General features: G+C 48.6%; 1 protein-coding gene and 1 long non-coding RNA gene across 5 annotated transcripts, besides 8 other annotated features; one reads left to right on the top strand and one right to left on the bottom strand.

Moving 5' to 3' along the window:
* Positions 1–1,669: 1,669 nt before the first annotated feature.
* TMEM18-DT (TMEM18 divergent transcript) lies at positions 1,670–7,161 on the bottom strand. Of its 2 annotated transcripts, none has more exons than NR_183417.1 (3): positions 7,060–7,161; positions 4,382–4,489; positions 1,670–3,277 (listed from the first exon to the last, which is right to left on the bottom strand). It is a non-coding gene; the product is annotated as a TMEM18 divergent transcript (long non-coding RNA). The 2 variants fall into 2 exon arrangements; NR_183416.1 differs by lacking the exon at positions 7,060–7,161 and adding an exon at positions 6,891–7,005.
* Positions 6,985–7,054: an enhancer, noted in NCBI's record as "active region_15217". NCBI's record gives its function as "activates an Ori minimal core promoter by ATAC-STARR-seq in GM12878 lymphoblastoid cells {active_cell/tissue: GM12878}" and the evidence as "EXISTENCE:reporter gene assay evidence [ECO:0000049][PMID:35858748]".
* Positions 7,085–7,184: an enhancer, noted in NCBI's record as "active region_15216". NCBI's record gives its function as "activates an Ori minimal core promoter by ATAC-STARR-seq in GM12878 lymphoblastoid cells {active_cell/tissue: GM12878}" and the evidence as "EXISTENCE:reporter gene assay evidence [ECO:0000049][PMID:35858748]".
* Positions 7,085–7,852: a biological region, named in NCBI's record as "H3K27ac hESC enhancer GRCh37_chr2:676681-677446".
* Positions 7,087–7,852: an enhancer, noted in NCBI's record as "H3K27ac hESC enhancer chr2:676681-677446 (GRCh37/hg19 assembly coordinates)". NCBI's record gives its function as "activates a minimal SCP1, AML or CMV promoter by ChIP-STARR-seq in primed H9 embryonic stem cells {active_cell/tissue: H9 hESC(primed)}" and the evidence as "EXISTENCE:reporter gene assay evidence [ECO:0000049][PMID:30033119]".
* On the top strand, positions 7,127–20,656 carry TMEM18 (transmembrane protein 18). Of its 3 annotated transcripts, NM_001352680.2 has the most exons (6): positions 7,127–7,244; positions 8,295–8,775; positions 8,903–9,023; positions 11,671–11,725; positions 14,683–14,776; positions 14,858–20,656. In NM_001352680.2, the coding sequence occupies exons 2-6, from the start codon at positions 8,758–8,760 to the stop codon at positions 14,951–14,953; spliced, it is 384 nt and encodes a 127-aa protein (NP_001339609.1). In that variant the 5' UTR covers positions 7,127–7,244; positions 8,295–8,757; the 3' UTR covers positions 14,954–20,656. The 3 variants fall into 3 exon arrangements, with proteins under 3 accessions (NP_001339609.1, NP_690047.2, NP_001339610.1); NM_152834.4 differs by lacking the exon at positions 8,295–8,775; NM_001352681.1 differs by lacking the exons at positions 7,127–7,244; positions 8,295–8,775 and adding an exon at positions 7,829–7,959.
* Positions 7,345–7,594: a silencer, noted in NCBI's record as "silent region_11101". NCBI's record gives its function as "represses an Ori minimal core promoter by ATAC-STARR-seq in GM12878 lymphoblastoid cells {active_cell/tissue: GM12878}" and the evidence as "EXISTENCE:reporter gene assay evidence [ECO:0000049][PMID:35858748]".
* Positions 9,639–10,138: an enhancer, noted in NCBI's record as "H3K4me1 hESC enhancer chr2:674395-674894 (GRCh37/hg19 assembly coordinates)". NCBI's record gives its function as "activates a minimal SCP1, AML or CMV promoter by ChIP-STARR-seq in primed H9 embryonic stem cells {active_cell/tissue: H9 hESC(primed)}" and the evidence as "EXISTENCE:reporter gene assay evidence [ECO:0000049][PMID:30033119]".
* Positions 10,139–10,640: an enhancer, noted in NCBI's record as "H3K4me1 hESC enhancer chr2:673893-674394 (GRCh37/hg19 assembly coordinates)". NCBI's record gives its function as "activates a minimal SCP1, AML or CMV promoter by ChIP-STARR-seq in primed H9 embryonic stem cells {active_cell/tissue: H9 hESC(primed)}" and the evidence as "EXISTENCE:reporter gene assay evidence [ECO:0000049][PMID:30033119]".
* Positions 23,349–23,924: an enhancer, noted in NCBI's record as "H3K4me1 hESC enhancer chr2:660609-661184 (GRCh37/hg19 assembly coordinates)". NCBI's record gives its function as "activates a minimal SCP1, AML or CMV promoter by ChIP-STARR-seq in naive H9 embryonic stem cells {active_cell/tissue: H9 hESC(naive)}" and the evidence as "EXISTENCE:reporter gene assay evidence [ECO:0000049][PMID:30033119]".

Genomic DNA, 27,663 nt, shown 5'->3' with positions numbered 1-27,663 from the left:
TTAGAGGAGGCAACAACATTCGAGTCCTAATGGTTGGTCTTTATTAGGCATGTGCCATGTGCCTGGCACAGAGCTGGGCATTTAAGGCATTTCATCCCAAATCCTTAAAACCACACATTAGAAAAGTATTATTGTCCTTATTCTCACAAAGGCAAGCTGAGGCTTTGATAATCAAAAAACAGTATTCTAAGGTCATTCCAAGTGAGAACTCATATTCACATAAAATCTTCCCTGATCTAAGGTCCATTTTCTTTTTGATATTCCACAAGCTTATAAAATTTGAGAGAAGAAAATGGAAAGAGAACCAAGTTCTGTCTGTGCTCAGTGGTACCCTTGGTGGTGTTGTGGGCCAACTTGTGTCCCCAAATTTATATGTCAGGTCCAAACCCCGCATCTCAGAAGGCTGCAGTGATTGGAGACGAGGCCTTTGAAAGGAAAGTGAGTTAAATGAGCATATAAGGGTGGGCCTCGATCCTACCTGACTGGAGTCCTTATAAGAAGAGAAGATCAGGACAAAGACACACACAGGAGGATGACCCTGTGTGCACATGGGGAGATGTGTCTGCAAGCCAAAGGGAAAGGCCTCAGAAAGAACCAACCTGTCAATGTCTTAATAATGTTAGACTTTTGGCCTCCAGAACTGTAAAGAAATAAGTTTCTGCTGTTCAAGCTGCCCAGGCTGTAGTGTCTCATTATGGTGGCCCAGGAAGTCATACAGTAGTGCAGAAAGTCAGAGAACCACAGCAATTCCTAAGGAAGGACCACTTCACGTGAAGATTGGCATAAACTTCCCTGAATACCAACATCATTACAAGACACATCAGCCTAAACTTATCAACATATGTCAAGATGTGAATTTGCACCAATGAGAAATGTACACTGGGCAGGCTAAATCCTGCCAGCTTCATTCTCTATGAGTGTGTAAATTTCTGAAGATTAATTTTTATGTCAGAGAAACTGCCCTAACAATCAATGAACTCCAAAGACCAATCTGCATATTAAAGCCTCAGGAATAATCCCCTGATTTTGGCTTCTCATCTCAAGCAGGCGTTTCATACTTGTACCATCCATCCTGGGGACTTTTGTCTCTCTGTGATGCCAGGAGAATAGCAGGTACACCTAAGTGAACACAAGGTAAACCATACCCAGCAGGGTAGCCTGGGTCTTTTAATTCAGTAAGAATGAGCTATGATTGCTTTAAGTGGAACTGGAAATTTCATTGCCATTTAACAACTGCATTTAAAATTACACTTGAGTGAGCTAGAGTGCATTACAAACAAGTAGGATGGTAAACCCCAGTAATCACTGTCCAGTGTCTGGGACACCCACAAGTCTTCCCTACCTGCCCTGAATTGTTAGAGAAAATAAAAGTGGCTGCCTTGAAGGTAGCCAGAGGCCCCAAGGTTATAGGAGAGCAGAGATTTGCCCCTGCTGGCTCTCTGAGAGGGTTGCCATAGAGACAGAAGGAAAGATGAGTCCAGCCTGTATAAGTTGGGCACAGCCAGTCAGGCATAGAACAGACATGGGCAGGAAGCTGCAAACCTTGCCTTCGTGTCCCTAGTGTGAGCCATTTTCAGTGATCAGAAAAGTTGCTTTGGAGTCCTTGATGTTTCCAACCCATTGTATTAGTCCATTCTCATGCTGCTATAGAGAACTGCTCAAGACTGGGTAATTTATAAAGAAAAGAGCTTTAATTGACTCACAGTTCCTCAGGGATGGGGAGGCCACAGGAAACTTACAATCATGGCAGAAGGGGAAGCAAACACATCCTTCTTCACGTGGCGGCAGCAAGGAGAAGTGCCCAGCAAAAGGGGGAAAAGCCCCTTATAAAACCATCAGATCTCATGAGAACTCACTCACTATTAGCAAAACAGCATGAGGGTAACTGCCCCCATGAATAAACTACCACCCATGGGGTCCCTCCCATGACACATGGGGATTATGGGAGCTACAATTCAAGATGAGATTTGGGTGGGGACACAGGCAAACTGTATCACTCATTAAGGAGGGTTAGAATAAAAATGCTATGACAAACATCTTGGAATTTCTGTAGGCATGAATTCAGAGGTTGAAAGGCCATATTTGGGCAAAACCCTCAGATACTGCCTCCTCAGTGTGTTACTTTTGGAGAGAAATGATTATTTCCTAATAATCTCCTACTATACAAAAGAATTTTCTAATTAGAGGAAAAGGGAGGGATAGCATTTTTCTTGGGTAGGGAGGGAGAGGGAAGAATGCATCTGAGTGCTGGTGCAAATCACACAAGCTTTGGAATTGGCCAAGTCAGACACCAAACTATGCTTCCAGCGCTCACGAGCTATGTCCTTTCAGACAAAGGATGCTACTTCTGAGCCTCAGTTTCCTCACGGCAATGTGAGTAGAGTAACACCTCTCCTACAGGGCAGCATAGAAGCATTTAGGGAATGTGTCCATCTCTGGATTTCTGCTTCCCATGGTGGCCAAGTGAGCCCGTCTAATGTCACTCTCCTGCAGGGAATATCTAGACAATGAGCAAATATAAAAAGTGAGTGGAGATGAAAAGCATGGATTATGGGAGGGGAGTGTGATGTGTGGAAGAAACAAAGGGAAAGAGGGCTTTTATGGTTTTTAGCTTAGGGTGAGTCTGACGCCATGCCATGCGGAGTTGCCAAAACACCAACAGGAAACCCTTGGTCTTTCCCTCCTGAAGAAATTGGGAATATGCCTGCTAAAAATTGAGAAGGAAGGAGAGAATCAGAGATGGAGAACCCCAAATTCTGTGTATAACTTCCATCCAGAACTCCAGTTGACATCCGAACGCTGAATGTGTGAGGCAAACTCCACGAAACACAAGAAGGATAAAAGAACCAAATTAAGAATTCAGCTGCTGTTCAACAGGCAGTTTGCAGTCTGTCAAACCAACTTAATGGTCTCATCACACACACGCGTGCGCGTGCATGCACACACACACACACACACACACACACACACAGCTGGAAAAAATAACAGAGCCCAGACTCTCCACGACATGATATTTGCAATGCCCAACAAGTCATGCTAAATTATCCACAATTGCAGAACCGGGGAAGTGTGGCCACCGCTCTAGCAAACAGACACACTCAGAATCAGAACAATCCCCTTGCTGTGCTCAGAGGTGGAGCTTCCTGCTGTATCCCTGCTCAGTGACGGGAATCAGGGCCTGCACCCACCACCAGGATGAATCCTGCCTTGCCGCGATTTTACAGCTGCAGCGAAGGACAGTTCTGCAATCATGGGAAGTCTAATGTTCAGTCCTCATCTAATAAAGAGAAGAAAAAGAATGAGAGAGAAAAAATGAAGAAATAATGCTAAAAATTAACAATATAAATTCACAGAATCAAGAAATTTATCAAACACAAGCAACATGAATACAAAGAAAACTAATTCTAGGCACATCGTGGTCAAACTGCTGAAACCAAGATAAACAGAATATTCTGAAAACAGAAAAATGACATGTTATCTATGGGAAAATGAGGATTAGAAACATCACTGCTTTTCTACAAGAAACTATGGCAGACAGAAGGCTGTGGAATATCTCTCATGTGGTCAAAGAAAAGAAAGAAAAGCAGTATTCAACAATTCACAGAAAAAATATCCTTTAAAATGAAGACAAAACAAGAGCATTTTTCAGATGAAGTCGATTCATCCCCGACAGATCTGAACTGCATGGGATGCTTATGGCAATTCTTTAGTCTGAGAGGAAATGATACCACCTGAAAATGCTCAGAAAGGAATGAGAGCTTTGGAAATGGTAAATTAAGCATTGCTGTCAAATGCTTTATTGTAAACCGCATTGTACAAACTGACAGAGGCATCAGATTTCACATCAGGGTCAAACTGGTGCAGCCCAGAGACACAAAGGGAGGAACCAGGAACCCGCACAGAAGCTGCCCGGGGTCGTAGACCCAGCCCGTGAGGTTGGTGTCCTGCAGGATGTTGCTGAGCTTGGCAAGTTCAATGGGGATAAATGGAGAACACAGTGGTGGAGATAAGGGCACTTCTGTGGCCTGATTCGCATCCAAGACATCGAAACTGAGGGCGCCCAGAGTCCAGCTCTCAGGGATCTCAGTTATTGGCCATGATGTCTTCAGGAATGAAACCTCTGGGCTCACACCATTCTTTGGGTGTGCTACAGTGTTTAAACCTTTCCTGAGATGCACCCTGCCGTCCCCTAGGGTCCGACCCTCCTGGGCTTTCTGGCACTGTCTGAGCTGTCACCAGGCCAGGGGTCTGCACCTGGCACCCCGGCTGGCATGGGGCTATGGAGGCCAGGTCCAGGGGGTCCTGCCCATGTCAGCCTGGCTGTGGCTCTTCCTAGACAGACGCCCCTCCCAAGGCTGCCTCTGGGTCACAGGGCACAGACCTGGTCTTGGTACCTCTCCTTTCCTCCATAACTCCTCATTGCTCCCACAGCAACAGGTAACTCTCCCCTGTGGTCTCTCCATCTAAACAATCAGCTGCCTGCTGGGACCTGAGCAATGCAAAGAACAAGAAAGCTATCAAGTACTGGCTTTAATTTGTAGAAAACATTACAGCTCACAAACTTATTTTACCCATTAATAAAGCTCTTGAAAACCAATTGTATGTGGATTAAATAGCTATTTTAGAAATAAACAAAATTGGGCCAGGCGTGGTGGCTCACGCCTGTAATCCCAGCACTTTGGGAGGCCAAGGCAGGCGGATCATCTGATGTCAGGAGTTCGAGACCAGCCTGGCCAACATGGTGAAACCCCGTGTCTACTAAAAATACAAAATTAGCCTGGCATGGTGGCACACGCCGGTGATCCCAGCTACTCGGAAGGCTGAGGCAGGGAGAATCGCTTGAACCCAGGAGGCAGAGGTTGCAGTGAGCCGAGACCCTGCCACTGCACTCCAGCCTAGGCAACAAGAGCAAAACGCAAAAAAAAAAAAAAAAAAAAAAAAAAAAGGAAAGGGAAGAGAAGAGAAGGGTGGCGAGGGAAGGGGAAGGGAGGGGAGGGGCTTCATCCAGTCTTTTCTGGAAGCACAAAATTCCAGGTAAATGGAATAGAGTCCATGTCAGCATTCACATACCAACAGAGAGAGCAGGCCATGTTCTACTGGCCACATTAAAATAGCAAAGAGAAAGAGATTAATTTTATTGATATATTTTATTTGGTCCAGTATGTCCAAAATATAATTTCAACATGTAAGCAAAATAATACAATTGTTGATAATGTATTTTACATTTTGGTACAAAGTCTTTGAAAGATGGTGTATGTTTGAAATTAAAGCACATCTCAGACTGGCGACATTGCACAAGCTTCACGTCTAAATGTCCGGCAGCCTAGCGTTGTTCAGAACGGCAGGGCGGGAGGAATGTGGAAGATGAATGTCCTGGGACTGAAAGTGAAGCTGCTGAGGGCCAGAGTTTTAACAATTTTGGAAACTTGGGTGCCAGGGCGCACAATATATGAAAGATCTGGGAGGGCGGCTGAGGGGAAGATGAAGAGAAAAAATCCCAGTGACCGTAGATAGGCTGTGGTTAATATTAATAGCAAAAAGAGTTTGACCCCAAATTACAGAAGTTACAAGAAAACAGACACCACAAAAGAAAGGCAGGCACCAGACAGGACTGACGATGAAACTAACCCATGGAAATTAATAAGAGTGATGTTTCACATAGTAACGAAATATCATCAGGGAGATACACAGTAACAGGCTGAACTGAAGAGGACAGATCTATTCCCTGTAACTGAAAGGTCCTGTTGAAAATAGCTGAACAAACACAGGGGAGTGAGAATGGACACAGATGAAAACCATCACACCAGCTGGGTGCGGTGGCTCATGCCTGTAATCCCAGCACTTTGGGAGGCCCAGGCGGGTAAATCACTTGAGGTCAGGAGTTCAAAACTAGCCTGGCCAACATGGTGAAACCCCGTCTCTACTAAAAATACAAAAAAAATTAGCCAGGTGAGGTGGCGAACACCTGTAATCCCAGCTACTCGGGAGGCTGAGGCAGGAGAATAGCTTGAACCCAGGAGGCGGAGGTTGCAGTGAGCCGAGGTCCCACCATTGTGCTCCAGCCTGGGCGACAGAGCGAGACATCGTCTTAAAAAAAAAAAAAAAAAACCAGGAAAGCCAAGCCCGAGATTTCCCAAACTCAGCAACAACAGTCGTGATGTTTTGAGAGGAAGGTTGAGAAACACAAAAGAGAGGAAGATGCACTATCTACCTAACGGGATGTTCCTGGAGTTGAATACAGGAAGAATAGAGAAAAATATCAATGAAAGAAATGTTTTCCCATAAGAAGAAACCATGACCTTCTACACTGAAATGAGAGAATGCATGTTAAGTAGCATAAGCAGAAATGACCACACTGTGGAAAGATTTTAAGAAAGATCTGGGAGGGGTTAAAGCTATTAAAAAAAAAAAAAAGTCCACCACTAGAACTATTTTTAGAAACATTAAACTAGTTCAAGAGCTAACATATGCAATTAAAGTATATACACTTAATAATTCATGATGTTAAAATAACAGAATGTTTAATTTGAAAATGTCAAAGTTGGGGTATAGATGTTAAAATAAAGGGAAAAAATTCGCTGGAAGAAAATTAACTTTATATTTTTGTATCTGTCGTTGAACAACGAAGTGAAGCGTAAGAACATCTGGTAAATCTCCAAAGTGAAGACAGATAACCCTAAGCTGACCCAGACTAAGAGTGCACTGCCCTTAGGGTCGCGAGAGCAGACACCTTCCCAAGTCCTGCAGGGTCCGAGGAGTGGGCAATGTCCCCGGCTCCTGCAGGGTCTCGGGGCGGACACCGTCCTCATTGATGCTCTGACCCTTCTAGGGAGTCCCAGGTGGGACAGGGCTGGCGTGGCGGTACAGCGCCCTGAGCCTTTGAAACAAACCTCCTAAATTCCACCCGCCTCCGCCTGCTCCTCTGTTAACGAACTAAAGACGCCCTCGGCCTCCTGGCGGAGCGAGCACAAGTCCCACAGCAGCGTAGTAAGTTTTCCGTATTACAGCGACCACCAGGAAATATCGCGATATCTGGACCTAGCAATGCCATGAAATTACCGCGAGAGGAAGCAAGCGCAAGTTTCGTGAGAAGGGCAGATCTCACGAGAGAGGATTTGGCGCCCTCCTCTGTGGATTCTGGCCAGGCCGGGTTCGGCGGTTGCTGTGAGAGCGGGCTTCCCAACACCATGCCGTCCGCCTTCTCTGTCAGCTCTTTCCCCGTCAGCATCCCAGCCGTGCTCACGGTAACTCGCGGCCCGCGTAACCACCAGTTCGGGGGAGGACGGCGGAGAGGCGTAGGGTAGGCCCCACAGAGCACCCGGCCTGTGGCCAAGAAGGCCCCGGCCGTGGGCGGGGCCTTGTGGCGGAGCGCGCGCGCTGGGCAGGGTCCTGAGACCTGTGGGAGTGGCTCGGGGCCGGCGTCGGGGGCGCGCGCTGTGGGCGGGGTCCTGGGCCCTGTGGGAGGGGGCCGGGGCCGGGCGTCGGGGCGCGAGCGCTAGGCGGGGTCCTGGGCCGTTGGGCGGGGAGGGGCGGGGCCGGGCGGGGCCTTGTGGAGGAGCGTGCGCAGTGAGCTGGCTCCGGCGCTCTGTGGCCCGGGCTTGGGCTGGGCTGGCGTCCTGCACCGTGCGGGCGTGGCTGAGTTGTGTGGGCGGAGCGCGAGGGGTAGGGCTTTGTTCGTGTGGGAGGTGCACGCCGGCCAGTCCAGCGTCTTGCGGGCGGGGCTTGGGCCATGTGGGCGGATTCTGGCAGTGCGGCGGGGCGTGCGTGGTGGAGCCTGATCGTGTGGGGTGGCACGGAGGAACGCTGCCCAGTGTGGGCGGGGCGTGCGCCGTGCCGGGTTCGTCTGACAGATCCCAGGGGAGCCCACGCCCCACGTGGCCGCCAAGGGGTGACATGGGCACTCGATGGGGTCTGGGCAGAAAGCCGTGCTCCCCTCACCTCCGTGCCTCTGGTCTTCTGGTGGGTGCATTGATGGGAGTAGATGCGCTTGTGTCCTTATGTCATGGCGCGGCTCTGGAGAAGCCGCTGCGGTCCCCAGCAGAGAGTAGTGACACAGGAGTTCTGGAGGGCTGTGCCGGGCTGCAGCTTGGAGGGCAGGGCGGGGCTGCAGCTTGGAGGGCAGGGCGGGGCTGCAGCTTGGAGGGCAGGGCTTGTCTTCTGCAGGAGGGCGCTCAAGGAGGGGATGGGGAGGGTTGAGGACTGCTGGGATTGGCATCTGAGCATCAGGTGGGGACTGAGCAGCAGTGGATCTGAGCCTGGCTACTTCAGGTCCCTGAGCCAGACACTGTCCCCAGGTACAGCAGGGTCCCGGGGAGTCCAGGAGGCGGCGGAGTGCGGCACTGTCTGGAGAGTTCAGTGTATTGCAGAGAGGTTGGAGAAAATCAAGTCTTGCACGTGGCGATGGCTCAAGATTCCCTGAGGTCTTCAGTGCTGACTAAGGAGTCTGAAATGATGATTCATGTTTTACCTTTGGGGCTGAGCCAAGTGCATCTCTTTGAGCAATCGTCTTAATTTCCTTGTCGTCACCAATTATCATAACCAATTATCATCGTAAAGGATGGTAATTCCTTTAATTATACCCACCTTAAAAACATGATTCTGTTCCACAAACGAAAGGAGCACATCAGAGATGCCTTCAGTTCTGTGTGCTTGAACTTTGAATTCCATGAATTATAGTTGCACTGAGGGGAGAATCCTGTTTCCATCCTCCTGGTTCCTTCTCCCTTTCCTGTCCCCATGTTTCTCTGAGGCCTGGCAATGCTCTCTGGATACTTGGTGAGTAGCCCAGGAGGACTCAGGAGTGAGAGGCCCCTGCCTCCTGCGCTGGGAGAAGGCTGTGGGTGGGCCGTGAACCCGGCCTTGAGTGGCAGGACAGTGAGTGTCTGCTGGTGTGTTCCTACAGCAGACGGACTGGACTGAGCCCTGGCTCATGGGGCTGGCCACCTTCCACGCGCTCTGCGTGCTCCTCACCTGCTTGTCCTCCCGAAGCTACAGACTACAGATCGGGCACTTTCTGTGTCTAGGTGAGTAAAACAACACAAACTCCACAACTCAGATCACTGTGTGAAATGAAACTGTGTATGTTCTGTCTGTGTCTTCGAAATATATACATATTTTTACAAGACCTCCCAACCCTCTGTCATGTGCCTGCTCCCAGGGCACTCCCGTTTTTCACTCTTGGAAGCTATAAAGAAAACTACTTTTTGGATGTTAGAGTTGAGAGGAATCTGTTGAGTTCCTGTTGCCTACCAGGGAGGTGCTGAGCACCAGCTGCACACAGGAGAGTTGGGTTTCCGGAAGTGCTGTCTTTTACACAAGATGCGTCCTTGGTGGCAGCTGTGCTCATGCACTGCTTTGAATGGGAGGAAGATTGCAAACTGGGAAAGAAAAGTTCTGTGCATAAAATAAGGCATTGCCCAACTTGGTTTCAAGGATAAGGGCTACAGAACTTAGAGAAGTTAGGGAGTTGCACAGGATGACTGAGAAAGATTATTCAGAAAAGCTGAAATCATGGCACAGGGTGTGAAGAGTGAGTAAAATGTTAATAAGAAAAGAGAGGGAGCAGGTGACGGCCCTGGGAGGGCAGCAGCCCGACATGCAGAGACTGAGATAGATGGAAGGTGTGGATCAGAGGCAGAGAAACTGCAAGCCCTCCAGGACCTAAGCACTTCTGATGCTGAGCGTTACGAACACGTGTGGGTAGAAGAGGCGAGGAGGGCCTGGAGGCCTGGCTCAGGCTACTCTTGACTCTCAACATTGGGGAGACACTGAAGATTTTGCTTGGTAGTTAAAAATAACTAATTTCAGATAAGTTTAGTTAGCTGGCTGTGTGCAAAGCGGGAAATCTGAAGAAGAGATGATCTTAGAAAGACTGGAGAAGTGATGAGGGTTTGCATCACAGTGGGGGCCTATGCAAGTGAGGCGCTCAGAGCAAGCTCTGTATTGAGGGTGCCCTGAGGAGTGCTGGAGTGGACCAGGCAGACAGGGCTCCTTTGCCTCCCACAGCTTCCTGGGGGACACCAGCACCAGTGATTCATCACAGACCTGTGTTATCAACAGTGACAAGTGTTGCAATGGAAAAGCCAAAAACACAGTGAAACAGGAGGAGCGGCCTGATTTAAATCACACAGTCCCCTGGGAACCCAGGGGCAAAAGGTGCATAGGCAGGAGCCAGGCAGTGAGATGCTGGCAGAGGGCAGGAGCAAGTGCCCCACGCAGAGGCCCTGAGGCAGGCATCTCAAAGAAAGGTGATGGCTTCACCAGCTGAGCTCCTGGATCTGAATAGCTTTGTCAGCTGGAGAACTGCACAAAGGGTTTGATGTTTTCTAGGATAAGGGGAAGGATGACTGCTTTCACACCGGGGTAATACTAGACACTGTGCTGCCTGCCATTACATTTCCTGTGATTCATTTCTCAAACCAGCCAAGAGTTGGATTTTATTTGCCCATTTTTATAAATGAAACATGCAGAGGTTCTCTAACTCCCTCAGCTATACAGCTTATAACCAGCACCATCAAGATTCAAGATTCAGACTCTGCTCCAGGGTGCATTTCAGGAATAGCTGAGGAGGAGCACCTGGTGACACCCTCCCTGCCCGCCTTCCTCCCGTGCCTACCACCCTCCCCACCTTCCCCCTGTAACGTCAGCCCTCCACACCTTCCTCCCCGCACCCATGCCCACCACCTCCTGTGTTAGCCTACCCTTCTCACCTGCCTGGCTGTCCTGCTTCTCCTGGCCCTCCTCCTTCCCCTCCTTCCTCTCCTTCCCCCCCATCCTCCCCCTCCTCCTCCTCCTCCTCCCTCCCCTCCCCTCTGGTTCTTTCCCTGTGCATTCTTTTCCTCTGCTTTATTGAGTCCATTCCTGAAGGGAGGAAGTGGAGGGACTGCTCACCGTAGCCCCTAGTTTAATCTGCTTTCTGATGTGTATCAAGAAGAATGAAAGGATTTTTAGTTTGATTTACCTTGGAAGTTGAAGCATCACATTTTTCTTAATTTGCCGAATCATATTTTATTTGATTTTATGGTACCATGGGTCACTGTCTCATGGGTTTGAGTACCAGCATTACCCACGAATTAGCTGAAGACCCTGGGCCAGTCCCTAAAGTCTGTGTGCTCCTGGGAGCATGGAGGCCTTGCCCTGCCCCCACCAGCTGCTGCCCTCCCTCCCGTGCCTTTGCCTCCAGCACCCCAAAGCTGTTCGCTCCCCTCCTATGGTCATCTCAGTGGCAGTGTCCCAAGGTCAGCCCGGGAAGTGTGAGCGTGAAAAGCCCTTGGTTGTCAGCTCTGGGTCTCGTGGCTCTCAGCTCCTGCTGCCGTGTTCTGTGGGGCTGAACTGTGGCTGCTGTCCCTGGGGAAATGTGTGAGGTCCAGCCATGCCTGGGTGAAGCCTGGGGCCTCGGGCGGCTCCTGCAGTAGCTCTGCAGGTGCTGACCTGAGCACGGGCTCTGAGTGAGACCATAGAGCATTGGAGAACTGAAGCACTGTTGGCCTTGATTTTCTTTCTGCTAAATGGGTGAGTCCTACGACTTGACAATGTTAGGATGTTTACCTGATGTTATGTTTAAAATTAAAGTGACATTTCTATTCAGTATTCTGCTGTAAAGAATGTATAACTTTATAACGAGTAATAACGGGCCATCTAAATTCTAATATGACTTGTACCTTTTTTCAGTCATCTTAGTCTACTGTGCTGAATACATCAATGAGGCGGCTGCGATGAACTGGAGGTGAGCCCACCCCCGGGCCTGTGACCAGGTCCCTGCAGGGGTGTCCCTGGGAATGGCCCCACAGCCGGTGGGACTCGCGGAGGAGACAGTGAATCCTAACGTGGCAGCTGTGCACAGCCCGTGCCCGTGCATCCAGGGTTGGTGGGCTCCAGGGTGACTCCGTAAATGCTTTACCAGCGCCACAGTGGCCCTTTCTGAGCGTGGCACTGTGGGACAGTGCTGGCTGAGGCCTCTGATGGCAGAGCCAGAGAAGTGGCCATGGGAATTTGAGCTGCAGAATAGAAACAGCAGCATTTTAGAGAACGTGGTCCGCGCTGGCCTCAGCCATGCCCTCCCCCTTGGACTGCAGGGTGGCTGCTCCATGGGGAGTCTGGACCTGAGTAGGGGGCTTCTGGGTGGTCTGGGGCACCTGCCTGCCTCATCCCCAGCCCCACATCCTGATGTCGGGGGGCACCGCTGGCAGCCCTGGCCCTGCGTCCTCTGCCCCCTCCTCTACCCCTGGCTTCATCCCAGGGGACTCGGAACCCAGCACCTGCCCAGGTTGAACCACACAGCCTCTGTCAAGTGAGACCCACGGACTGTTTTTGAGTGGCCTGTGAGCTAAAAATGGCTTTTACGTTTTAAAATATAAAACAGAAAAAAAGTAAAACTGCCAGACCCTGAGCAGGAAGGAGCTGAGACTGTGGCCTTGTGGCCCATAAGCCCTGAACACTGATCTTGGGCCCTCACCGAAAGGGGTTGTTGAGCACTCCCTGAAATCCTTTGCTTAGACCCCGCCTGGTTTCCCGAACCCTCCCCTGACTCGGCCTCCTCCTGCCTTGCTCCTCCCTGCTCAGCCTTTCCCTCCACGACAGCGTCCCTGCAGCACTGTCTCTGCCCTCCCTCCTCCCTGCCCTCTCTTTAGCCATAAGCGGCTCACTGGGGACCCTGCCTCTCCTCCCGGATGCAGGGCCTTCACATGGTTCAGTCCCAGGAGGACCCTGCCTCTCCTCCCGGATGCAGGGCCTTCACATGGTTCAGTCCCAGGAGGACCCTGCCTCTCCTCCCGGATGCAGGGCCTTCACATGGTTCAGTCCCAGGAGGACCCTGCCTCTCCTCCCGGATGCAGGGCCTTCACATGGTTCAGTCCCAGGAGGACCCTGCCTCTCCTCCCGGATGCAGGGCCTTCACATGGTTCAGTCCCAGGAGGACCCTGCCTCTCCTCCCGGATGCAGGGCCTTCACATGGTTCAGTCCCAGGAGGACCCTGCCTCTCCTCCCGGATGCAGGGCCTTCACATGGTTCAGTCCCAGGAGGACCCTGCCTCTCCTCCCGGATGCAGGGCCTTCACATGGTTCAGTCCCAGGAGGACCCTGCCTCTCCTCCCGGATGCAGGGCCTTCACATGGTTCAGTCCCAGGAGGACCCTGCCTCTCCTCCCGGATGCAGGGCCTTCACATGGTTCAGTCCCAGGAGGGGTGTTCAGTCCCTGGTGACCCTGACCTTGTCCAGAGGCTGGCACAGGGTCATCCTCCCCGAAGCCCTCCCACACCCAGCTCCAGGGTGCAGCACCTTTCTGGCCCCTCCCTTCCCTCTGGCCGCAGCCTCCTGTCTTCATGCTTCTCCGAGATCTCCTGGTTTCAAAAGCGCTGGGTTTCTTGCCTGTCCCACCTGTTGGACTGGGCACCAGGACGTCTAACAAACATCTCAAAATTCACACTTCAGTCCGACTGCTCTGCTCCCCCCTCTTCGTAGGGGCGGCTTCTCCCTCCAGCTTCTTAGACCAGAGACGTAACAGGGCATTGTTCAGGAAGCTCCGTCCCTCCACCTTTAAGATCAGCCACGAGCCCAGTGTGTTCCATGCCCTTCACCCCACCCTCGCCGACCCGCTGCTGACATGCAGCGGTCCCTAAGCCGTCCCCCGACTGCCCAGCCTCTTGGGCATCCTGGGGAAGCGTGGGCCTCAGAGCCAAGCACTGCCCCTCAGAACGTTCCAGAGTGTCCCCAGCTCCCCCAGAGTAAACGCGGAGTCCTGCAGTGATGCCCTGCGGCCTCCTGCCAGCTCTGTCCCAGCCGTTCATGGCTGTGCCTACGACTCCACGAGGCCCCCTCACCCCCGACAGGCTTCACATTTCTCTGTAGCAGCACTCGCCACATGCTTGGACTGGCTGCCTCTTACTTCTGGGCCTCCCATGGTATAGAGTGTAAGCGCCAGCAAGGCGGGAGCCCCATGCTCATGAGGTGTTGACCCACTGCCCACCATTACTAGCTGTGAGCGCCAGCAAGGCAGGAGCCCCATGCTCACAAGGCGCTGACCCACTGCCCACCATTACTAGCTTTGTTGATGGCATTTCCTGTGCTGGCTGCTGAGAGAATCATCAACACCCACGTGCAGATCCTCTGCCCTCCCTGGCGCTGTACCTTTGTGCAGGTGGAGATCTTCCGCCTTCCTCAGTCTCTTCTGCTAAAGAGGCACTGGCACTGACAGCAAGAGGACCTGCTATGAGAACCAAAGGGATGGAAGGGCCCGGCACCACTCCTTCCCAGTGCAGCTGTGGAGCAGACGCAGCTGCTGTCCCTTTGTCATTTACGGGGAGGGGATTATTGACGTTGTTACTCTGTAGGTTTTAAGGATTTCAAGTCATCAGTGTCTTCCAGCTAAGGTCAGATGTGCTGCTGATGACCCAGAGGGCTTGCAGGGTGACGTCTCTCTGCTGGGGGAGGCCTCGGGGTCTTTCCTGTGCTGCTGGGTGGTGTCTCCCTGTCCTGTGACCCAGTGTGTTTTCTTCATAATGAGCATTCATTGCATTTGGGACAGTACAGTGGAGATTACCGCTGCTCCCAAGGGTGGGCCCAGTGAGGGTGTTGCTCCCACCTCAGTCCACATCAGCTCTCTCCAAAGTCTTATCTAAATAGACGGTGTCACTAGAACTTTTTGGTTGTATTGCCTAGTAATTTTTTGTTTTTGTTTTTTAAACAGATTATTTTCGAAATACCAGTATTTCGACTCCAGGGGGATGTTCATTTCTATAGTATTTTCAGCCCCACTGCTGGTGAATGCCATGATCATTGTGGTACGTAGATGACACTTTCAGTTGTCTTTCTTCATGTGTATGTTTTTCAAATCTAAACATGTCTCAAACAATTGTGTTTAGGTTATGTGGGTATGGAAGACTTTGAATGTGATGACTGACCTGAAGAATGCACAAGAGAGAAGAAAGGAAAAGAAAAGGAGAAGGAAAGAAGACTGAGGGGCAGCAGCTGCTTGGAGTTTGCGTCCTTCCCGTCCACCCAGTGCAGCTCCCAGTGCTGCAGTGTGCGTGGCGTGGGCATCCTTCCAGCTGACTCATGGTTTGAAAAACCGTTGTTTTATTTAAATATCCACAGTGGTAGGGCACACACTGAAGTTGGCTTTTCAGCCAGCACTGAATGTATCCATCAGGACATGCGTCTTCAGGTGCCTGATCTTTGTAGTCAGGCTGTGGGAACGGTCTCTGCAGAGCTTCATAACTGGGAATTTGATTTGAAGAAGTCCATGTCATATGTGTAACTAGTACTAATTATAAATATAAAATACACAATATAAAATATGAAACTCAATAATAAACAGTGCCACCTGTACATGGGCACCATGCCCTCCTCCTCGTGCTGTGTTTTCTAGTGCATGCCACAGTTCGCAGTAGAGGGTGTTTTCACCTTCCAAGACATGGGGCAAAGTTTGGAGACACCTGGTTGTCACTGGAGGGGGTGGTGCTCCTGGCTTCTCCTGTGGAGCCCGGGGTGATGCATAAAATCCTGTGTGCCTGGGTCAGCCGCATCACAGACAATGACTTGACATGAAATGTCAGCTGTGCTGGGGCAGAGAGACCTTGGAAGGAAGCTCTTGGAAAATACGTTGTATCTCAGTTTGATGAACCAATTCACAAGAGGCTAGGCCCTCTCTAGCAAAGTTATGGGCTGCTTTACTGAAAACAGAATGGAAGCCCTGAAGTCAACACTCCATGGAGAAGCGTGTCTTTCCTAATGTCCTGGTGTTCTGTTGATTTAGGTGCTTGGGAACACAATGCTCCCAGTTCTGTTAGGACAGGCATACTGTTACTTTGCAATATCCACTTTATAAAATAGCTCCTGCCCAGTGGCTCTTGGTTCCTGTCAAATGTGGACCTGTAGTTTAAGAATGACAGGTGGTTAGAGACCCAGATATTTAAAAATAGGTGTTCAATAAGGGAATACTGATTGTGCATTGTATCTGGATAGCATGCCTAATTGTGCATTTCTGAAAGTTACCAATTCAAAATGTAATTGGAACAGTTATCTTTGATTAGACAAGCCTGGGAAGAGAATGTTGAGGTGCAGAGCTCACCAGCCAAGTTCATGCCCCTCTCGGGCCTTTGTGGCTGAGAAGTGGGACAGAAAGATGATTAAGGTAATGTGTCCTCCCTGTAGCATTGTCCAGGGCCGTTGTGTAGATATTTGACTTCACTGACAGAAAAGAAACCAGGGAGTTTGTAGAGACTGTGCATTTTTAGTATAACATTTTCACCATCTGATATGGTTTGGCTTTGTGTCCCCACCCAAATTGCATCTCAAATTGTAATCCCCATGTGTCAAGGGAGGGACCTGATGGGAGGTGATGGGATCATGGGGGTGGTTTCCCCTATGTTGTTATCATAATAGAGAGGGAGTTCTCACAAGATCTGCTGGTTTTAAAGACAGCAGTTTCCCCTGCTGTCACTGTCTCTCTCCTGCTGCCTTGTGAAGAAGGTGCTTGTTTCTCCCTCTGCCATGATTGTAAGTTTCCCGAGGCCTCCCCGGCCATGTGGAACTGAGTCAATTAAACTTCTTGTTTATAAAGTAATCCAGGTCTCAGGTAGTATCTTTATAGCAGTGTGAGAACAGACTAATTAAACATCTATATGTTATTTGGACTTAATATGGGGCCGTGTGATTGAATCTCAGTTTGCCTGTGATAAAGTAGTGTAACAGTATTGCTAGCTTTGCATGAATTTGATGCTGATGACATGTCAGTGTGAAACCATGACGTGTGGTCTTTGATTTTCATTCTGCATGTGTGTGTCTGTGTTTTGGAACAGTTATATTTTGGTTTTGTAAAAACAACCTTCACTTTATTTTTAACTGTGTAGTAAGTTTATATTCAATGCCTTAAAGTGCATTGTTAACAATTGTCTTGATATGTTGTCCTCATTTTAGGGAAAGTCATAGAAGCCAAAATGATCAGCAGTTGAGTAATTTACGAAAGCACAGGTGCAATCCCACTTTAAAGCACTGGGGGTTGCACAGAGCACACTGGTTTCAGGCTCCATAAATGTGGATGACTCACTGGAGAGCTTCATCTGTTTAAGTAGAACAAATGTTTTTACTCTACTGATAAAGTACAGGAAAGGAGGTTTGGGATCAAAATTATTTTTCACATTCCAAACCTGTGACACCTTACGTTTATCGATTGCTATGCAATAAAATACATCTTTAATAATATGTAGTATTTTTTTTTGTTTTTTTCAAAAAAATGGTATTTGTTTTGCACCTTACTGTAACTGGAAACAGGAGCACCTGGAACTTAGCTCCACCTTTGGCTGGCAGGTCCCTTTGCTGCAGCATCTGGTGCTGAGTTTTAACAAACAAATGCAATTGTGTCCTTGCCAGTAGAAGAAAGTCTACTTGCACAGATAATGTATATCAAATCAGAAAGCAATATGCAACCTGAATGGCTAGCTTCTGTGAGAAGTAAAGTGGCAAGGAAATGTTAACATGTTCTTGCCCTTTACAAAATAATAAATGTTAAAAAAAAAAAAAAAGGGCTGGGGGTGGAATTCAGGGTAAGGAGCTTCAGTGGCGCGAAGTTGAGTGGGATGCTTAAAGACAGACGAGAATTGCCGTCAGAGATATACCGGTCAGGCCCAAGCATCTTTTCCCTGGAAAAGAACTTCAGGCTTCCTTGTCTGGATTTCAGTGGAGCACCCTTCTTCTTTCACCAAGTTAACCAGAACATGTTTTCAGTGCAGCCTTCCCCTCTTTACTGAAGCCCCTCTTGCTGGTCGACTACACCAGCAAGTCGGTCCTGGGGAGGACGGGGCTGGGCTCCACATGCAGAGTTCTCGGAGGCAGGAAGGGAGCGAGCCAGGGCAGAGAAGAGCACCCAGGGGGTGGCGCTGCCCAGTCCCAGGATGGTGCGAAGATGTCTCCAAGCCCTGGTTGCTGCACAGGGAAGGCAGGATGGGGCGGCGAGGCCCACGCAGGCTGTGGGTGCCATGCGTTGGTGGCAGCTTGTTCCGAGTGGGGCTGGAACAGTTGACAGCAAGCATCCTCATCGGCCTGGTAAGCTTTCTAGCTCCTCTTCCTCCGATGTTCCAGTTTCACAGCGGCCTGTACAGTTAGATCTTTCCTCGCTTTGGGGGAAGGTGTAGCTATTATAGTCTCCGAATCATGCTGTCATTAGAAATTGCACAAGACCTATGCCAGGGGAGGCGCTGACTGGCACAGGCCCTGAAAGGAACCTGAGGACAGAGAAGGAGCTCCCTGCAGCCTTCAGGCAGCCAAGCAGAGGCCTAAGTCCAAGCATGTGGCCATAGGGTCTGCTCTGTAAGCCTCAGGGCTACTGCCTTCTGCTCCAGTCCTGGGCCAAAACACCCTTCAGCAGCTCCTGCTCCATCTGAGCGAGCTGGATGTCAGCCTCCATGGGCCCTGTTGTGCATGGGGTTGATGCTTCATCTGAGTGAGCTGGGCATCTGCCTCCATGGGTCCTGTTGTGTGTAGGGTTGATGCTCCATCTCAGTGAGCTGAGCATCTGCATCTCGGGGTTCTGTTGTACATGGGGTTAATACTCCATCCGAGTGAGCTGGGCATCCGCATCTCTGGGTTTTGTGTGCGTGGGGTTAACACTCCATCTGAGTGAGCTGGGTGACTGCCTCCATGAGTCCTGTTGTGTGTGGGGTTGATGCTCCATCTGAGTGAGTGGGGCATCTGCATCTCTGTGTCCTGTTGTGTGTGGGGTTGATGCTGCATCTGAGTGAGTGGGGCATCTGCATCTCTGGGTCCTGTTGTGTGTGGGGTTGATGCTCCATCTGAGTGAGTGGGGCATCTGCATCTCTGGGTCCTGTTGTATGTAGGGTTGATTCTCTATCTGAGTGAGTGGGGCATCTGCATCTCTGGGTTCTGTTGTATGTGGGGTTGTTGCTCTGAGTGAGTGGTGCATCTGCATCTCTGGGTTCTATTTTATGTGGGGTTGATTCTCTGAGTGAGTGGGGCATCTGCATCTCTGGGTTCTAGTTTATGTGGGGTTGATTCTCTGTCTGAGTGAGTGGGGTGTTTGCATCTCTGGGTCCTGTTGTATGTGGAGTTGATTCTCTATCTGAGTGAGTGGAGCATCTGCATCTCTGGGTCCTGTTGTATGTGGGGTTGATTATCTGAGTGAATGGGGCATCTGCATCTCTGGGTTCTAGTTTATGTGGGGTTGATTCTCTATCTGAGTGAGTGGTGCATCTGCATCTCTGGGTTCTATTTTATGTGGGGTTGATTCTCTATCTGAGTGAGTGGGGTGTCTGCATCTCTGGATCCTGTTGTATATGGGGTTGATTCTCTATCGGAGTGAGTGGGGCATCTGCATCTCTGGGTTCTGTTGTATGTGGGAGTGATGCTCCATCTGAGCTGGGCGTCTGCATCTCTGGGTTTATGGATCCCTAAGCCCAACTCACTCACAGCTTGGCCCTCCATGTGCTGGTCTTTCCTCTGCCTTACCCATGTTTGGTTATTTCTTATATAACATTGGATATCTTTGGAACAGGAGAAAATTGTTAAGTGTCAATTTGCTGCCCCTTTTTTCTGTAAGTCTATCTTCTATAAAGTAATGTAGTCCCTATTATCATGATGCTATTTCACTATATAACATTATTTTCAATGCCTGCATAGTAAACACATTGTAGGGGTATAGGCTGAATTTACGTAACCAGTTACTGATATTAGAGATGCAGAGTTTTTCTAATTGTTTTACTGACAACAGCAACACAGAAATCTCCAACCTCACATGCCTACATTTCCACTATTGACTTGGAATAAATTCTTACAAGTGAAATTTAGTCAACATATATAACTTTTATGTGACAGTTGGTAAATGTTGCTAAATCAATTTTCAGAAAGCATATGCCAATATTGGTTGTACATATTTCCTGAAATCCTTGTCTGCACTAAGTAGCAACGTAAAAAAAGAAACTTTTCTGAGTAATAGGTGAAAGTTTTATCTCACTGTTTTAACTTGTACTTCTGTGGTTACCTGTGAGGTTTAACGCTTTTCAAATGATTGTTGGTGTTTTGCATTTTTTTAGTGAATAATCTGTTCGTATTCTTCTTTGTTTTGCAATATGGGCTTTAAAAAACCTATTTCTAATTTTATGTGTTAAAATTGGTAACACATATAGGGCAGAAATATGTGTTACTAGTCTGTAGTTTGGCTTTGGCTTGTGTTGAAAAGGTTTTAGAAAGTCAAACAGTTTTTTGCTTTATGTATCATCAGGAACTGTGAAGAGCTGAGGTTCCACCTCCTCCCAAGCTGACAAGTGACCCTCGGAGAAGAACCGTGAAAACCTCACAACAGTGAAGTTAGTTTAAACAAGTTACAACGACAAACACATTGTGCCATCCTTATGATTTCACCTGTTACTTAGTTCACACTGATGGGTGGCTGGTGTTTAAATGCTTTCCAAGTTCATTTCATTTATTATACAAATGCCTGTGAAATACCCAGGCAGCATCATTGCTTCCTTCTCTAGCCTCCAAACCGAATATCCTTTTGCTCAAGCATCCAGGTAAAAAAAGGGGGACCTTAGGAATTGTGAATTTGAAGCCAGAAGCCATGGTTTACCTAGGAATGGATTTACTTGCCAAGAACTGTGACACCTTTATAAATAAAGTTACTCATGTTGGCTTTTTTGCTCTTTAAATTCTTCTCTGTAAGTTACTGATGTGACAAATCAAATAATAAATTTCAGACAGCTTATATATTGACAATACAAGAAAGTCCATCCAAGAGTCTCTCAAAGCATACCTGGCACATATTAGAAGCATGTAAGTTCTGAAAAGTACTGAGTGGACATTTGTGGGGCCTTGACTTCCCTGCCACTGTCCTTTGTAACCGATGACCTCAGGTTGGGCTGGGATGGGTTTGTGTCTCCCACCAACCCTAGGCCGCACACGGGGCTCTTGGGTGAGTGAGAGGCTTCCCCGCTGCAATCACAGTCCTGAGCAGAACAACAGACCGGAAGCAGCGCGGAGCCTGGGAGTGGAGGTGCAGCCTGGGTGGATGCGGGTTTCCCGGCTGCTTCAAGGGCACACAGCGCTTTCTCATTTCTTACCCTCCCAAGTCTTCACCATTGTCCTGGCAGGTTTATGACCCCCATCCTACAGGGCGTCACCTTTATGTCGACAGCACATTGAAATACGTATGCAATTAGTGGATTTTCCAGGGTAACAGCTGCAAGCTGTTGTGGAATTCTGCACATTAATACGTGGTCATTGTAAAAATGTGTTCATGAGAACTCTTGAGAGGTACTGACATGTCTGACGATAGATTCCGAGTGAAAACACTTCCTGTGATGACCACAGAACATGATCAATTTTATAAGAGCCTTGGTTCTCACTGGACATGGTGATGATGGCCTCGAATTTCAGTTTCCCTTCAGGAAAGGTATATAGGCATACTCGACATAGTTATTTATAAGATCACTGTAAGGATCAAAAGATATGTGTTAGATTCCCTAAACTGCACGTCTGTTAACGGCTTTGGTGGGGCTGGCGATGCGGTGGTGCTGATCTGATCCCCAGAATGATGTGGAGCATACAGAATGCGTCCTGTGCTGCTCACTCCAGGACCAGAATAGAGAAAAGGAAATGTGACATGTAGCTGCTGCGTGAAAGAGATGCCCGGCCCGACGTGGGGCCAGAGTCGTGGATCCTGCACAGGTTGGTCTCCTGAGCTGTGAAAGGGGAACGTCAGGATCTGGGGCCGCATACCTCCTTGGCTCTGCAGAGCTTTTCCAGTTCGTTCCCCGTTCTGTCTGAGAAAGACATCTTTTCCACTAACCCTCCAGAGGGCACCACAGCACCATGCCAGAGGCCCCTGTTTGGCTGCTTGGGGAAAATTTCTGTCACTTATTCAGAAAGAGAAGTCTAATATTTTTGATTGAGGAACGTCACCCGGAGCTGAAGGGAATGAGCCGGGAAGCACAGGGCTTCGGTTTCCTGTGTTCATTTGAATGAGGTTAACCACATCCCAAATCAGTTGTAAAGTCAGTTTTTACTGTCCAGAAACAGACCTAAATACATACACAGGTGAACACACAGAGTCACATGTGCACACATGTGAACACAGAGACACGTGCACACGTGAACACACAGAGACATGCGCACATGTCACAACGCAACGTACACAGTGCAGGTTTACATATACACTCTCACTTGTGCATGTAAGCTCACACTCATGCACATACCCACACGATACATGCAGCAGTGTACTCTCACGTGTGCACACGTGCACACATGTAGGCGCCTGGAGACATCACTGATTTCATTTTTCCGTTACATTAGAAAACACCCATGCTGCACCTGCACCCACACAGATGATGATGTGAATGAATAAGTGCATTTACATGGTCTAGTTTCAGGAATGCTTTTTTTTTTTTTTTTTGAGACGGAGTCTCACTCTGTCGCCCTGGCTGGAGTGCAGTGGCATGATCTCGGCTCACTACAACCTCCACCTCCTGGGTTTCAGCGATTCTACTGCCTCAGCCTACCGGGTAACTGGGATTACAGGCACCTGCCATCACGCCCAGCTAATTTTTTAGTATTTTTAATAGAGTCTGGGTTTCACCATATGGGCCAGGCTGGTCTCGAACTCCTGACCTCAGGTGATCCACCCATCTCGGCCTCCCAAAGTGCTGGGATTACAAGCGTGAGCCCCCGTGCCCGGCCCACGAATGCTTTTTAAAGAAGACCTATCCAGTGAAGTAACATGATGAGAATGGAGGGACTGAGAGGCTGCTCTGTGGGGGCTGTGCTATGATAGGGATGAGCCTCACAAGATGCTGCAGGCCCGAGGAGCTCACCACTTCTGCCTGCTGGACACTGGGAGGCTCAGACACACGAAGAGAAAGGATGAAGGGCCCCACCCTGGCCCTTGACGCGCTGCTGGCCTCAGGAACTACTTTTAAGTAGAGAGTAGAAGTTGGAAGCTGAAGTGATACGCCCTCCTTCGCTTGACCTTATCTGTGGTCTCAGAAGACTCGGGCGGCTGGAAACGTCCACGGGAAATGGGGGCGAGGCTGCACTCTACACCCAAGGCCCACCTGCACCATCCAGGGCCCAGCCTCGGCAGCTCCGGGTGCACAGCAGGTAGCGAGAGCACTGCAGGTAGTGGGAGCACTGCAGGCAGCGAGTGCACAGCAGGGAGCGGGAGCACAGCAGGGAGCGGGAGCACTTCAGGGAGCGTGTGCACTGCAGGGAGCGGGAGCACTACAAGGAGCAGGTGCGCTGCAGGGAGCAGGAGCACTGAAAGGAGTGGGAGCACTTCAGGTAGGTGCACAGCAGGTAGCAGGAGCACAGCAGGGAGTGGGAGCACTGCAGGGAGTGGGTGAACTGTATGAGCAGGTGCACAGCAGGTAGCAGGAGCTCTGCAGGGAGGGGGAGCTCTGCAGGGAGCGGGAGCACTGCAGGGAGCAGGAGCACTGCAGAGAGCGGGTACACAGCAGGGAGCGGGTGCACAGCACGGAGTGGGTGCACTTCAGGGAGTGGGTACACAGCAGGGAGTGGGTACACAGCAGGGAGCGGGTGCACAGCAGGGAGTGGGAGCACTGCAGGGAGCAGGAGCAGTTCAGGGAGCCGGTGCACAGCAGCTCTGTCCTTAGATAGAAGCCCGACTGGGAGACCCGCTCCTCGTTCCCCTGCTCTCAACCGAGGCCCAGCCGACGTCCCTGCGGCTTCTGCCTTACATCCCGGCCCTGCTTCCCGCTCAGCGGCTTTCACCGCTGCCTGCCTCTCCCTGCGGCCTGGCTGAGGAGCAGGTGGGCTCCGCCTCCCATTAGCAGCATTGCCTCCGTCCAGCACAAAGACCAAGACTTGTCTCTGAAAAGCGTCTGCAGCACGCGTGGGAACCGCCGCTCAGCAGCTCTTCTTCTGGCACCCACAGGGCCTTCTGGGATTTACAATGTTTCAAATAAAGAGATAACATGAAAAATAAAATGCTGACCAGTAAATGACGCTATGAGGGCAACCACTGTCTATACTCAAAAAACCTCATGCTGTTTCTATAGTATTACATTTTAAATGTATAGACTTCATTTTTTTAAATCAGTTTTAGGTTTACAGAAAATTGAGTGGAGTTCCAATACTCCATCCAGTCCCAATTTCTCCTGTTACTTACTTATTGGCTTACTGCCCTGCATTTGCTAAAATCAGCAAACGTACACGGACACTCATCGTCCCCCAGAGTAACCCGTCGCTTCCATTAGGCCTCCATCTTGCTGTTGTACTTCCTGTGGGTTTGGACAAACGTGCAATGCTGCGTATCCCCCATGGTAACATCACACGGAGGAGCACCACTGCCCTAACAGTCCTCCCTGCTCCACCTGCTCCCTCCCTCCTCCCAACCCCTGGTAACCACTGATCTTTTTCCCGTCTCCATAGTTTGACCATTTCCAGAATGTCATAGAGTTGGAGTCACGCAGAGGCGGCCTATTCAGATTGGCGGCTTTTACCCAGAAACATGCATTTAAGGTTCTTCTGTGTCTTTCCATGGCTTAGTTTTTTTGACACTGAAGTATGTTCCCTTGTCTAGATGAATCATAGTTTATTTATCCACTCACTGAGGTTATTTATCCACAATTTTTATCCACTCACCTCCTGAAGGTTATCTTGGTTAATTCCAGGTTTAGGCAATTATGAGTAAAGCTGCTATAAACACTTATGTGCAGGTTTCGTGTGGACATAAACATTCAGTTCATTTTGGTAAATGTCAAAACATGTAATTGCTGGATTGTCTGTTTAGTTTTGTAAGGAACTGCTGGACTATATTCTTTCTTTCTTCCTTCCTACCTACCTTCCCTCCTTCCTTCCTTCCTTCCCTCCCTCCCTCTCTCCTTCCTTCCCTCCCTCCTTCTTTCCTTCCTTCCTTTCTTCCCTTCTTCCTTCTTTTCTCCCTCCCTCCCTTCCTTCCTTTCTTTTTTTTTTCTTGACTATTCTTGGCAAAGCAGAACATATCAAAACCATGAATGAAGCCCATCGGGCCTCACAGATGTAGGAGACATGCAGTGTGATAGCAGATCCACTTCAGACCACATGTGCTGTGAGCATATTTGAGAAAGGCTGGAAGACAGCAGGGTCATCATAGCTTTGGAGCATTTGGGTTTGAGGACCTGGGAAAATGGTGAAGCTGTGGGAATCTCAGGAAAGTCACAGGAAGGGTTGGCACGACCTGTGTGAGAGGAAAAGGAAATGAGTGAGGAACGTGGAAAGAAAAATGCAGGGTCTGGGGAATGGTTGGAGAGGGTTCTGTCTGTGGAACTGCCGTTAAGAACGAGTGTGGTTCATATGCGACCACCGACTCCCCTACCCCCCTCGACCTCTGGTGAAAGCCTGGAGGACAATGCGATGGAATAAGAAATAACATATGTGGACCTGAGATGAGGCCACATTTTGGTCTGTTAGACAGCGGGGAAAAAAAAAACAAAGAAAAAAATAGAGAGGGAGAGGGAGAGAGAGAGAAAGAGTGAAAGAAAGAGACAAAGAAATAAGAAAAGAAAGAGAGAGAGAAAGAAAAAAGAAGGAAAGAAAGATATGAAACAAAAACCTGAGGTCACCCCTTGCAGGACCCTTAGCTGGGCTCAGCTGTAGTATTGGGTTCCACACATTTCTCCTCTGAACACCTTTACAACATGATGAATGTTTTTATTTCCAAGGTTAATTTTCAAGTTTACATTCCAAATTATATTTCACATTCTATAGATGTCAGTATTTTTCTAGTTTCTCCAATTTTCTGATGTCAATGAAAACTATCCAGAAGGGTGGCAAAGGCACCCAGTCTATGGGTCTGAGACTGACTGCAGGTGGGGAGAGGAGATGCCTGCGGGGACACTGCCTGTGATCTGTGCAGGGCGCCCAGAAGTACGGACAGAGGGTGGCCTAATGACTTACTAGAAACTGAATAGGAATCGAGAAAAGGGATCCCAGCACATGGAGACTGCATCCCTCGGTTCCAGGAAATGCAGGGTGCAGAGGTTTGCTGTTGAGTTATCATCCCTGGGTACAGAGCTATGGGTCCTGGAGCTGCCGCATGCCTGGATGTGGCACAGGCTTCAGTACACGGCAGAAGTTGATTAATAAACGAAACTACAGGGATTAAGGATGATTTGGTTTTTTTTCCAAGATTCAGTTTGCAAATAAGTAAATAAATAAATAAATAAAAATAAGTTAAAGTTCGGTTTGGTTGTTTTTGTTACAACAACTGCACTAAGCAATAATGATAACTAGCAATTCAAAGCTTATGTCTCAATTGAAATGTAGATGATAATCCACACACCATTTCAGAAAAAATAATATGTTTCCATCATAAAACATGGAGGTTTAGTAAGAATAGTGCTTTAAGTTAATAATAATTTCTTAGACATTTACAGAGATCTATACACTAATGATTAATTTTATCTAACTAGTTCCACTCTGTTTGTTGAGAACACCTCTATTTCTAAAAATATTCCTGTAGTTGGTTTCTGGAAAAGCCCGTGGAAGGCGCCTACATCCCCAAGGCAGCTCCTAGTGCTGTTGATGTGGCGCCCTGGCACGTGGTCACCCAGTTGCAATCTCTCCTGTGGGCCATCGGATCTAAGTTATGCAAGCTGTAGGTGTTTACCCAGGAAGGTTTTCAGCAAGGCCTGTAGAGACCCAGCGGCCAGCAGGGAGGTGACCCAGATCCTCCCTGCAGCACCAGCCATGTGGTCCATAGAGGAGGCTGTTGAGAAATACAGAGAAAGGAAGATGAAAAATGTGGGTTTATTAAAATTCTGTTGATAAAGTGAGAAGATTCAGTACATATTGAATGTAATTACAATAGGATAGAACAAGAAGAATTAGAGAGAGACTATATTTGCAAAAAAATGAGTAAACAATTTGATTACAAAAGCATGCTGTCTATCAAGCAGAATAAATACAAAACAAAGATACATCTGGACATACTGGAGTAAAATTGAGAATAACCAGTCTAAACGTAAAATATGTAAGACAGAGAGAAAACTTTGGCACTGTCTAATAAGAATGACAATTCGGTAGACTGCAGACCTCCAAAAGCAATACTAAAAGTTAAGAGAAGTTTGGAATAATCCCTTAAAATGCTGATAGAAAATAATTGTCAACCTGGATGTGTGTGCCCTGTAAAATTATATTTCATGAATAAGAACAAATTTAAAACATTTCAGCTGAAGAAAATTGGGAGGGTTTACTACACACAGACTCCCTGAAGAAACTACTAAGAGATGTCCTCCTTTTACCAGGTGATAGTAAAAGAAGTAAGAAGTTATGGAAGAAAATGAATTGGTTATTTGTTTAAATCTAAAACACATTACAGAAAATTATGATGATTGTGACATTAATGATATTATAATAATAACATGCATTTGAGAGAGAGAGAGAAAGATAAAGTACTGGACAGCAGTAACCGATAATTCAGGAGAACACAATTGAACATAATCTAATTGTTCAAGCTCTTTATTCTTTACTTTTTAGGAGAAGACTACAGATATTGCTATGGGCTGGATCGTGTGCTCTCAGAATTTATACGTCCATTCCTAGCCACCAGTGGGACTGTATTTGGTGGTGGCTCCAATAAGGAGATCATCAGGGTAGAAGGAGGTCACCGGGCGGGGCATGGTCCCATCAGGCTGGTGTTCTGATAAGAGGAGACACCACT

Source organism: Homo sapiens, chromosome 2 (assembly GCF_000001405.40).
Source record: "Homo sapiens chromosome 2, GRCh38.p14 Primary Assembly".
In the NCBI taxonomy this organism is placed as follows: domain Eukaryota; kingdom Metazoa; phylum Chordata; class Mammalia; order Primates; family Hominidae; genus Homo; species Homo sapiens.
The sequence above is the reverse complement of the archived record's forward strand: the minus strand, read 5'-3'. Positions and strand labels throughout refer to the sequence as shown.

Excerpts from the sequence above, each read along its gene's own strand:
- TMEM18 (NM_001352681.1), top strand. The coding sequence starts at position 7,894 with ATGGGCACTCGATGGGGTCTGGGCAGAAAGCCGTGCTCCCCTCACCTC. Across the intron at positions 7,960-8,902 it reads TCCGTGCCTCTGGTCTTCTG|CAGACGGACTGGACTGAGCC; the intron begins GTGGGTGCATTG and ends GTGTTCCTACAG. Across the intron at positions 11,726-14,682 it reads GCGGCTGCGATGAACTGGAG|ATTATTTTCGAAATACCAGT; the intron begins GTGAGCCCACCC and ends TTTTTTAAACAG.